The following is a 12,766-nucleotide window of genomic DNA, read 5'->3' as shown; positions in this document are numbered from 1 at the left end:
TTGCCTCTGCCCTAGAGATTTGTGGAACTTTGAACTTGAGAGAGATGATTTAGCATATCTGGTGGAAGAAATTTCTAAGCAGCAAAACATTGAAGAGGTGACTTGGGTGTTGTTAAAGGCATTCAGTTTTATAAGGGAAGCAGAGCATAAAAGTTTGGAAGATTTGCAGCCTGACAATGTGACAAAAAAAGAAAATTGCATTTTCTGAGGAGAAATTCAAGGTGGCTGCAGAAATTTGCACAAGCAACAAGGACCCGAATGTTAATCCCCAAGACGATGGGGAAAATGTCTCCAGGGCATGTCAGAGGTCTTCACAGCAGTTCCTCCCATTGCAGGCCCAGAGGCCTAGGAGGAAAAAATGGTTTCACGGCCCAGGCCCAGGGTCCCCATTCTGTGTGCAGCCTAGGGACTTGGTGCCCTGCATCCCAGCCACTCCAGCCATGGCTGAAAGGGGCCAATGTGGAGCTCAGGCCGTGATTTTAGAGGGTGCAAGCCCCAATCCTTGGCAGCTTCCATGTAGTGTTAGCCTGCAAGTGTACAGAAGCCAATAATTGAGGTTTGGGAAACTCCACCTAGTTTTCAGAAGATGTATGGAAACATCCTCTGTTGCCTGGATGCCCATTTGCTGCAGGGGCGGGGCCCTCATGGAGAACCTCTGTTAGGGCAGTGCAGAAGGGAAATGTGGGGCTGGAGCCTCCACACGGAGTCCCCACTGGACCACCACCTGGTGGAGCTGTGAGAAGAGGGCCACCGTCCTCCAGACTCCAGAATGGTAGATCTACTGACAGTTTGCACTGTGTGCCTGGAAAACCTGCAGACACTTAACGCCAGCCTGTGAAAGCAGCTGGGAGGGAGGTGGTACCCTGCAAAGCCACAGGGACAGAGCTGCCCAAGACCAGGGGGACCTACCTCATGCATCAGTGTGACCTGGATGTGAGATATGGAGTCAAAGGAGATCATTTTGAAGCTTTAAGATTTGACTCCCCTGATGGTTTTTTGACTTGCATGGGGCCTGTAGCCCCTTTGTGTGGGCTAATTTTTCCCATTTGGAAGGGCTGTATTTAGGCAATGCCTATACCCCCATTGTATCTAGGAAGTAACTAACTTGCTTTTGATCTTACAAGCTCATAGGCAGAAGGGACTTGACTTGTCTCAGATAAGACTTTGGACTGTGGTCTTTTGAGTTAATGCTGAAATGAGTTAAGACTTTAGGGGACTGTTGGGAAGGCATAATTCATTTTGAAATGTGAGGACATGAAATTTGGGAGGGGCTAGAGGTGGAATGATATGGTTTGGCTGTGTCCCCACCCAAATCTCACCTTGAATTCCCACATGTTGTGGGAGGGACCCAGTGGGAGGTAGCTGAATCATGGGGGCAGGTCTTTCTCATGCTGTTCTTGTGATAGTGAATAAATCTCACAAGATCTGATGGTTTTATAAGGGAGAGTTTCCCAGCATAAGCTCTCTCTTTGCCTGCTGCCATCCATGTAAGATGTGACTTGCTCCTCTTTGCCTTCTGCCATGATTATGAGGCCTTGTCAGCCACATGGAACTATAAGTCCATTAAACCTTTTTCCTGTATAAATTACCCAATCTCAAGTATGTCTTTATTAGCAGTATGAAAACAGACTAATACAGTGGGTTTCTGTGGTGGGATTTCTATCCTGGTAGCCTGCCTGGTACTCAAGTTTCCTTCTGGGAGAGGGAGAGGGGAGGAAATGTGCCTTTACTAAAACTGAACGTGGACTATGGTGCCAGGGTGTGTGTGTGTGTTTCCCTGTGCATGCATGAAGTGCATTCTGGCTTCATCTATATTCATGCCACCCTGCTTCCTCCTTAAAGTGAGGGAATTGGGTCTCAGATATGCTAAGGTCCATGCGCTGGGATGTGGCAGAGCCGCAGTTCTGCTGGTTTCTAGAGCTCCTCTTCTTCCCCGATCCCACATCACCTCACGAGAGTCAGGCTCAGCTTTGATCTTGTAACCCTCTGCTCCCAGGGCTGGAGACCTGCTTCTGAATTCCACCCTTGTAGCCAAGAGCCATCCGGGACATAAACAGATGGTGACAGAGCCACTGCTTGCTGAACAATTAACTTGTGCTGGGCCCTAAGCTGAGCTCTTTGCAGCAGGAATTTTCCCCTTCCTTGCTTTATGGAGAGTGCACTGCTCTTGCTTCATTTTACAGTTGAAGAAACTGAGGCAGAGATGGAGGAGAATTGCTGGCTCTAGGTTACTGGGCCAGGAGTGGCTGAGGCTGCCTCAAACCCAGGATCCTTGGGATTCAGAGCTGGGATCTGCCCCCAGCTCCCTCGTTACAGCTGCCCTCTCCTCCTCTGGGGTCTCCCTCAGCCCCAAATATCCATCTGCAGAGATAGCCGCTCAGAGAGGTCTGAAGTTTCACCTGCTTGGTTCCAGGGTGCAATTTGAGAACAAAGCTAAAAAAAAACCTAAAGGCTATTAAATGCACTAGTGAAGGTCATTGGTTTAAGAGAAAAGGCAAAAGGAAATGAGACACATCAATTTCAACGGTCTTTCCGGCTAGCATTTTGTTAGCAGCGACCCAGCGGATTTAACAACAACAACAACAAAAATGGAGAATATCTGATAATTCTGTACCAAGCCTGCTACTTAGGAAAAGTCTCTGGGGGCCTTCTTGGTGATGCCAATGCATGGAAATGAAGCAGGCAATTGCTTGACCTCCACGACGTCCTCTTCTAAATCTGTGTTTAAGATGAAGAGGCTCCGCGAAGACTTGAGTGGCTGCTGCGTGGAGATGCAGGGGCTGAGACTGAACATGAAGTGCTTCTGGGGCTCGTGAAGCGCCCACCCCCGGTGGAAAGGCTAGCGGGAGGCCCTCTGTGGGCTCCGGTTTCAAGAATGATGGTTCAGCTTGTACTCGCACCAGTATCCCATTTGCTTCTGAATTCACTCGCAGGGCACAGATTCAGGAGAAGAGCTGGAGGGGCAGGAAGGCTCAGGCTGTGGTGGTGGAGGTCTCTGGTCCTTTGTTTCTGGGGTTGCAGCCCCAGCCCCATCCTCTCCCCCACAGCATTGCAGGGCTGCTAGGTTAGTGCTGAGACTTCATGTGCTTTGCACAACTAAAATATTAATAAACAAACTGGACACACAGATTTCCTTAAGGTGAAGGATCAGAGAGCCCTGCCGGATCTGGGAATATTTATCCACCAAGTACCATTTGCATCTGTATCTTCCTGTACCAGCGTTTTTCCGCTATACCAGGTTGTCTTTCGAGGATTAGGTTCAGCTTTGATCTTGTCATTCCCACTCCCAGGGCTGGAGACTGGCTTCTGAATTCCACCTTTGTAGCCAAGAGCCATCAGGGACATAAACAGATCGTGAGAGAGCTGCCAGTTGCTGAACAATTAACTTGTACCAGGCCCTGCACTGAGCCGTTTGCAGCAGGAATCTTCTCCCTCCTCACCCTATGGGGTGGATGCTCCATGCCAGGTGCTGGACCAGCAGGGAAAGGGAAGGGGATCTGAAATCCAGAGAGTGGTTGGTTGGCTCTGGCCCATATGGGAACCCCATGGGCGTCCTGGTCTCTGAGCTGTTGAAACAGCCCTCTTGGCTGGGTCTGTCTGCTTATCTTTGCTGGGGGGCATATCCCCTTTGGCAGGACCATGGGACTCTGGGATGGGTACTCTGCATCCTGGGAGACAAGTGGGCATTGGGAGAGAGGGAGGGGGAGGCAACAAACCAGGCAGATGGCACTGAAACCCCAGGTGCAGAGTCCTCCTCCTGTCCGAGCTCCTCATTCCTGGGCCAGCCTCATCCTGTGCCTGAGCTGCACTTAGTGGAGCCCCTGAGCCAATGATGTCATTGAGGTTCATTTCCTCTGCAAGTTCTTTTCCTCTCTGGGACTCTCTCTGAGAGTGGCCCCAGGAGGACACCCAGGCTTCAGTTGGGGTGGCCAGAGCCACTGTGTGCCCCAGCCTGGATGGCCTCAGCAGTCCCTTCGCAGTCTCCCGGTCCACCCTTGCCCCAGATGACCAAAGATACTGGGCATCTTCTTGTGTGCTTATTGGCCCTGTGCATATTGTCTTGAGCTGTGCCCAGCTGTTTTGCCCATTTTCTAATAGATATTTTTGTCTTCTCCATGAATTGTAAAAGTTCTTCCTATATTCTGGGTATAAGTCTTTTGTCAGATAGATGTATTTTCAATACTCTCTTCCACTCTGTGCCTTGCTCCTTTTTGGTTTGTTTTCTTAGCGGTGGCTTTCAAGTTTTCGATTTTGATAAAGTTAACTTTTTCAATTTATATTTTGTGGTTTGTGTTTTTTGCAACCAACCTAAGAAATCTGTGCCCCACAGTTACAAAGATTTTCTCCTGTTTTCTTCTGGAAGTTTAGTATTAGCTTTTGCACTTTGCCCTATGATTCGAGTTTTGCTTTTGTATGTGGTGTGAGGTGAGGGTCAATTTTCATTTTCTCTTCATAGGTTTACCCCATAATTCCAGCAGCATTTGTCAAAAAAATTCTTCTTTCCCCATGAATTGCCACTGCACTTTGGTTAATCATGAATTTCACATATGTGTGAAATATTTCTGCACTCTCTGTTAGAGATCACTGCTTTATATATGTATCCTTTTGCAAAATCCTCACTGTCTTGGTTATTATACATTTACAATAAATCTTAAAATCAGATGAGTTTGAGCCCTCCACTTTGTTTTTGTGCTTTTTCAGGGGTGAAGCACATAATCTGAAGTCCACTTATATTTGGGCTGTGTATCCTTCATATTAATAAAAATGCTGATCTAGTGGAGCTACTCTTAGCATTTATATTTAAGCTTATTTTTCAATGAACCTTTACCTTTACATCTTTTTAGGTTAGCCTACACCTTTAAATCTTTCTGAAAACTGCTTTTACTGATGTATATGTGTATCGTACACATGGCATATATATGTGGGTTTATATATCATACACTTTGTTTATATACCTATAACTTGATGAATTTTTGCAAACCAAACACATCCATGAATCCAGCACAAGTTAAATAAACAGAACGTTCCCAGTCCCCGAGAAAGCCCCTCCTGCTCCTTTCCAGTCCCTAAGCCCCAGTGCTCACTACTCTGGATTTTAAACCTTAGTTTTGCTTGTTTTGTGCTTTACGTACATGAAACATAGAATGTCTCCATTTGATGATGTGATTTAAGTAGAACTATACTTGGAAAGCTCACAATTACACAATTATTTATATTCGGCACTAAACACATTTCCCATTTGATCCAAGTAGAATTAGTCTAAGGGTTTCTGCCGCTTGCTTGATGATAGGAATGACAGAGGTATCATTAAAATGTAGACCCCAGGTTCCTTTGCTGACAATTCAAATCCAGTGGATGGATCTGGGCCTGGGAATCTGTATTTATTTATTGCTTTTATAATTATTTTTAATCGACATAGAATAATTGCCCATACTTATGGGGCACAGTGTGAGATTTTAATACATGTATACAGTATGTAATGATCATTTGATTTCAGGGTGATTAGCATAGCCATTGCTGCAAACATTTATCATTTCTGTGTGTTGGGAACATTTGAAATCCACTCTCCTAGCTATTTATTAAATTGTTGTTAATTAATTACAGTCATCCTAGGTGCAATAGAGCCCTGAACTCATTCCTCCTCCCTAGCTGGCCATTTACATCCCTTAACCAACCTTTGATTACCCCGCCTTCCCTTCAACTTTGTTCTTTTTAAAAATTGCTTTGGCTATTCTAAGTCATTACCATTTTTGTATACATTTTTTTAATCAGCCTGTCAATTTCTCCATTCCAGTAAAATGCCTCCTGGGTTGCACTGAATCTATAGATCAGTTTAGAGAGGACTGACCTTTTGACAATGCCGGATACATAAATAGGGTCTGTCTTCCATTTACTTACGTAAATTTCTCTCAGCAGCATTTCATGGTTTTCAGTGAGGAGGAGTTACACTTTTTTGTTAAATTCATTCCTTCTGTGGCTTGTGGTGCTATTGTAAGAGTAATTTTTAAAATTTCACTTTCTAATTGTTTGATATTAGTATATAAACTGTGACTGATTTCTGTATCTTGTATCTTTCAATTTTGCTACATGCACTTATTAATTCCAGTAATTGTTTTACAGACTTCTTAGCATTTTTTACACAAGCAATTATTTTACCCACAGATAGGAACTGCTTTATTTCTTATCAAATCTGAATGCTTTTATTTCTTCATCTTCCTTTTGCAATGACTAGAATTTCAAGTAAATGTTTGAATAGAAGTGGCGAGAGCAAGAACTCTTGTTACCAATCTTATAGGGAAGATTAAGTGTGATAATTAGCTATGGATTTTACATAGCTACCCTTTATTCTTTATAAGGGGTATGCTTTATAAAGCTACCCTTTATCCTACCCTTATTCTTATTTCTCTGGGAGTTTATGATTGGATATGGAATTTTTATCTGATGTTTTTCTGTATCTATTAAAATGATTATATGGTTTTCTGCCTTCCTTTATTCTGTTAATATGGTGAATGACACTGATTGAGTTTCAAATGTTAAACCAACCTTGCATTTTGAGATAAAATTTACTTGTTCATAATGTACTATTATTTGTATATGTTGCTAGATTTCCTGAGTTGCTATTTTGTTAAGGATTGTTGTGTCTATGTTTGTGAGGAGTATTGGTTTATAGCTTTTTTCTTTTTTTCTTGTGATGTCTTTGTTTTGGTATCAGGATTACACCGGCCTCATAAGACAAGTTGAGCCATTTTCCCTTCTCCTCTTCTTTCTGAAAGGGTTTGTGTATATTCGGTGTTATTTCTTCTTGAAATGTGCTCGGAATTCACAAGTGAAACCATCCAGGCCTGAAATTTTCTTGGCGAAATTTGTTTTTATTTTTTAAAAAAACATTTTTAAAATAGCTATATAGATATTCAGATTTTCTCTTTCACATAATGTAAATTTTGGTAGGTTGCATTTTTCAAGGCTTTTCCTCCTTTTAACAAAGTTGTCACATTTGTTGGCATAAAGGTGTTCATGATATTCTCTTATATTTTTAATGTCAATGAATTTGTTTGCAAATTGTTATTCATAATAATTCCTCATCTTTTTAACATCTATAAGATCTGAAATCACATTCATTCTTTTATTCCTGATATTGACATTTTTGTTCTTCCTCATTTTTTTCTGGGTAAGTTTAGGGTTTTGTCATTTGTTTAATCTTGTCAAAGAATACATTTTTAGCTTTGTTAGTTTTCTCTATTTTTGATTGATTTCCCATTTCTTTGATTTCTTTACATATTGTTATTATTTTCTTCCTTCTACATACCTAGACTGATTTTGCTCTTCTTTTAGTTCTTGAGGGAGAACTTTAGATTTTGATTTTAAACCTTTATTCATTTCAGATAAAAACATTTTAAAGCTATAAGTTTCCTTCTACGCACTGCTTTAACTGAATCCCATAAATTCATATGTCACACTTTCATGATCATTTTTTGAACTATTTTCTAATTTCCACTGTGATTTCTTCTTTGACCATGAATTATCTAGAAGTATGTTGTTGACACCCATATGTATAGGAGTTTCCCAGATACCTTATTGTCACTGATATCTAATTTAATTCCATTGCAGTTAGAGAACATGCTCTGTATGACTTCAGGTCTTTAAAATGTATTATATTTATTTTATGGCTTAGAAATGACTCATCTTGCTGAGCTGACCACGTGTACTTAAAAAAAAAGTCTGTCTTTTGGTTGTTGGGTGTACTGCTCAGCACATATCAATCATATCAATACAATTGATATGATTGATGTAATTTGGCTATTCTAAGTCATTACCATTTTCATATAATTTTTTTTTCAGTGTTTTATTGACTTTTTTTCTCCCGTTCTTTTATCAGTTGCTGGAGAAGGGTGTCAACGTCTCTTACTATGATCATGGAATTATCTTTCTTCCTTTAGTTTTGTAATGTTTGTTTCATGTATTTTGAAGCTCTGTTATTAGGTGTACACACATTTGCAATTATTTTGTCTTCCAATAAATTAACCCTTTGGTCTTTATGAAATTTCTGTCTTTATCTTTGACAACATTCTTTGTCTATTTTACCTGACATTAATAAAGCTGCTTTAACTTCTTGGTCTGACTGTTTGCAAGGTTTATGGTTTTTCATCCATTTACTTTCAATCATTGTCTTTATATTTAAAGTGCTTCTCTTATAGAGAGTACATAGTTAGGCCTTGCTTTTTTATTTTTTAAAGAAATCATCTGGATTACTGTCTTTTTACTTGTTTTGTTTTTTCTCTCTTTTTTTTTTTTTTGGTTCTTCTCCTACTTTCCTACCTTCTTTTTTTTTTTGAGATGGAGTCTCGCTCTGTCGCCCAGGCTGGAGTGCAGTGGCACGATCTCGGCTCACTGCAAGCTCCACCTCCTGAGTTCACGCCATTCTCCTGCCTCAGCCTCCAGAGTAGCTGGGACTACAGGTGCCTGCCACCATGCCCAGCTAATTTTTTTGTATTTTTAGTAGAGATGGGGTTTCACCTTGTTAGCCAGGATGGTCTCGATCTCCTGACCTCGTGATCTGCCCGCCTCAGCCTCCCAAAGTGCAGGGATTACAGGCATGAGCCACTGCACCCAGCCCTCTTTCCTACCTTCTTTTGGATTATTTCATTAATTTTTAGAATTCCAACATACTTTACCTATTGACTTTTAGTGATACATTTTTGCATTATTCTTTTAGTGGTTATGCTAAGGATTATGATATACTGATATGATTTGGCTGTGTCCCCACCCAAATCTCATCTTGAATTCCCATGTATTGTGGGAGGGACCTGGTGGGTGGAAATTGAATCATGGGGGCAGGTCTTTCCCATGCTGTTTTCGGGAGAGTGAGTAAGTTTCATGAGATCTGATGGTTTTTATAAGGGGGAGTTTTCCTGCACAAGCTCTTCTCTTTTTTTTGCCTGTACCATCTCTGTAAGATGCGATTTGCTCCTCCTTGCCTCCTGCCATGATTGTGAGGCCTCCTCAGTCATGTGAAACTATAAGTCATTAAGCCTCTTTCTGCCATGATTGTGAGGCCTCCTCAGTCATATGAAGCTATAAGTCATTAAGCCTCTTTCTGCCATGATTGTGAGGCCTCCTCAGTCATGTGAAACTATAAATCATTAAGCCTCTTTCTTTTGCAAATTGCCCAGTCTCGGGTATGTCTTTATCAGCAGTGTGAAAATGGACTAATACATAGACATTCCCGTATTTTTCAATCTGGCTAATATTGTACCACTTAGCAATCCTATAGAGCCTTCCACACCCTTATCCTTATGTGATAGTAATCAAATGAATAATTTCATAAACATTATAAACCCCATAAGACCCAGTACACTTTTTGTTTTAACCAGTCCTATGTGCTTTAACAAAATGAAGGGAGACATAGTCTTTTTTCTATTTACTTCTCTGTTTCCTATTCCCGATGCTCTTTTGTTTCTGAACACCCAGATTTCCACCTGGTGGTGTTTTCTTTCTGCTGAGGAAATTTCTTCAGCATTTCTTGTAGGGAAGGTCTCCTGAGAAAAGGCTATTATAGTTTTCCTCCAACTGGAAATGCCTTTACTCTTCGTTGTTGAAGAATATTTAATTGGATATGGAGTTCTGGGTTGAGAAGGCTCTCTTCTTAACCTCCATGATTTCGGATGAGAAGGCTGAAGCTGTGGTTGTTCTCTTGTCCTTTTCCTCTTCCTACTTTCAACGTTTCTTCTTTATCTTTGGGTATTAGCCATTTGCTGCTGTGCCTGGATGTGAGCTTCTGCAAATGTATCCTGATTGCAGTTCCTTGTGCTTCTTGAATCATAAATTTATACCTTTCGCCCAATTTCATGAGTTTGAGGACATTCTTTCTTCCATTTTTTTCTTTCCCATGCTCTCTCCTCTCCTTTTGAGATTCCAATACTTGCTTGTGAGATTTTCCTAAAATAAGTTTCTGAGGTGTGATTCATCCTTATAGTGTCTTCTCTCTCTCTCTCTCTTCTTTGGATTAGATGATGACGATAGTTCTATATTCAAGTGTACCCTCTATCACCCCCAATCTGCTACTGACTCTATCAGGCAAATTTTTTTTCTTCTGCTTTATTTTTGAGTTCTAACATTTCCGTTGGATACTTTTTACACATTCTGTATCTCTGCTACAATTTTTTTCTTCCCATTTGCTATGAGAATATTTTCCTTTTCCACACTGAGCATAGTTAAAAATAGCTGTTCTTGTCTAGTAATTCCAACATTCGGTTCATCCTGAGGTTCATCGTGGAGTATTTTTCCTCGTAAATGAGTCACATCTTCCTGACTTCCACATTCAAATATTGAATAATTTTGAAGACTATTACTGCTATGTTGTGAGATTCTGGATTCTGTTATATTGCTCCAAAGAGGGTTGATGTTTTTGTTTTAATAGCCAATTTACTTGGTTAGAGCAAAACTGCAAACACTGTCATGCCAGTAGTTGACAGGTGTATGAGTCAGGGTTCTCCAGAGAAACAGAACCGATGGGGTCTGCAGAGAGAAAGAGATTCAGTATGAGGATTGTTTCATGTGGCTGTGGAGCCTGAGAGGCTCCGTGGATCTGTCACCTGCAAGCTGGAGACCCCAGAGAACCCATGGTATAAACCCCAGGCCGAGGGGCAGAGGAAACCGATGTCTCAGCTCCAGCATTCAGACAGAGAGAGGGCGTTCTCCTTCCCCCTCCCCTGTTATCCTTAGACCCTTGAAGGGTTGGATGATGCCCACTGGCATGGGGATTGCTGTTGGCTTTACTGAGTTCACTTATTATCACAGTGTGAGAATGGCTTCATACAAGCGTGGGGCAAGCTTTATGTTTCTCCAGCTTGATCTCTTCCAGAAACGCCCCCCACAGGCGCATCCAGAAATCATGTTTAGCCAAAGACCTGGGTACACCATAAGCTAGTCAAAATGAGGCATAAAATTAACTGTCACAGTGGGACCCCAAATCCCACTTCAAGCTGCTTCTCGTCTGTTTCACATGCACGCTGCAGGGTCCAGCTGGAGTCCTGGGCAGAGTTTGTATACAGAATGGGGGTTTTCCATTTCCCTTCTTGGCTTCCTCTTTTTCTGGGTTTCTGCTCACTCTCCACCAGCCTGCTGGGTTGGGGCTTCTTTCTGTGCTTCCTCCAGCCAGAAGGACGGCAGATTTTCCCACCACAGACCTAGCAGCCTGGTGCTGCTCCATGACCATGAGCCCTCTGGACAAGCTGGAGAAACACGGAAGTCGCCCCACACTTATATGATACCATTCTTGTGCTGCTATAAAGAATGACCTGAGACTGGAGAATTTATTTTATTTTTATTTATTTATTTATTTTGAGACGGAGTCTCTCTCTGTCGCCCAGGCTGGAGTGCAGTGGCGTGATCTCGGCTCACTGCAAGCTCCACCTCCGGGGTTCACGCCATTCTCCTGCCTCAGCCTCCTGAGTAGCTGTGACTACAGGCACCCACCACCACACCCGGCTAATTTTTTTGTATTTTTGGTAGAGATGGGGTTTCACTGTGTTAGTCAGGATGGTCTTGATCTCCTGACCTCGTGATCCGCCTGCCTCGGCCTCCCAAAGTGCTGGGATGACAGGCGTGAGCCACTGCACCCGGCCAAGACTGGAGAATTTATGAAGAAAAGTGGTTTAATTGGCTCGTGGTTCTGCAGCCTGTACAGGAAGCATGGTGCTGGCATCTGCGTGGCTTCTTGGGAGGCCTCAGGAAACTTATAATCATGGCAGAAGGCAAAGAAGGAGGCACGTCTTCCATGGCTGGAGCAGGAGCAAGAGAGATTGCTGGGGGAGGTGCCACACACTTTTAAACAGCCAGATCTCATGAGAACTCACTCACCATGTGGTATCAAGTGGGGAGGGTGCTAAGCCATTCATGAGAACCCCACCCTCACGATCCAATCACCTCCCGCCAGGCCCTACCTCCAGCACTGGGGATTGCAGCTGAACATGAGATTTGGGTGAGGACACAGACCCACACCACATCAACAGTCACCACCTGCACACTCGTGTTCCCGTCCAGTACCTGCCTGTGTGTGTTTAGACCCACACCACATCAACACTCACCACCTGCACACTCCTATTCCCGTCTAGTACCTGCCTGTGTGTGTTTATTCCCCACAGCCTTCAGGCGGTTGTGATTTTGCATTTCACTTAGCATTTAGTTACTTCTTGTGAGAGAATGGTTTTTTTGGGAGTTTCTTTGTGTATCTTGGAAATGGAACCCTGGAAGCCATTTATTGTTTACCAGCTGGAGGGGGCAGGCAAGGAGAAGCAGTTTTATTTTCAAATGTAGCCAACCCTGGTCCTCTCCCATTTACCAGGCCAGCCTTTAACATGTCTTGCTACTCTGGCATTTTATCCTTGGCCTCCAGAAGCAGCCAGGTGGTGTTTTGAATATTCTGTCTTGAAACTTCGTAGGTAGCTTATTGAGTTTATTAAGGTGATTTCTAATTTTCCTTGAAGCCACGTTGGTACCAGGCTTTTTGCCAGGACATGACAAGGGTCTCGTGCCTCCAAGCCGCTGTTAACATTTCCCTCCCCTTCCTCTCAGCCCTCGCTCTCAGCCTCCTGGAGTCCCCTTGGTTGTCCACAGACACTCTCAGGTCCCGCCGCACTTTGCTTCCTCTCAGCAGCCGGCCTCAGGGCAAGTCACATGTGTTCGGTTTTGGATCTGGCGATACCTCCTCCAGGCCCTGTAAGCGATTCCATACCTGTAATGCATAACAAGTCAATCCACACCCGGT

The sequence above is a fragment of the Homo sapiens genome, chromosome 9, assembly GCF_000001405.40.
Source record: "Homo sapiens chromosome 9, GRCh38.p14 Primary Assembly".
In the NCBI taxonomy this organism is placed as follows: domain Eukaryota; kingdom Metazoa; phylum Chordata; class Mammalia; order Primates; family Hominidae; genus Homo; species Homo sapiens.
Note: the sequence above shows the minus strand (reverse complement) of the source record.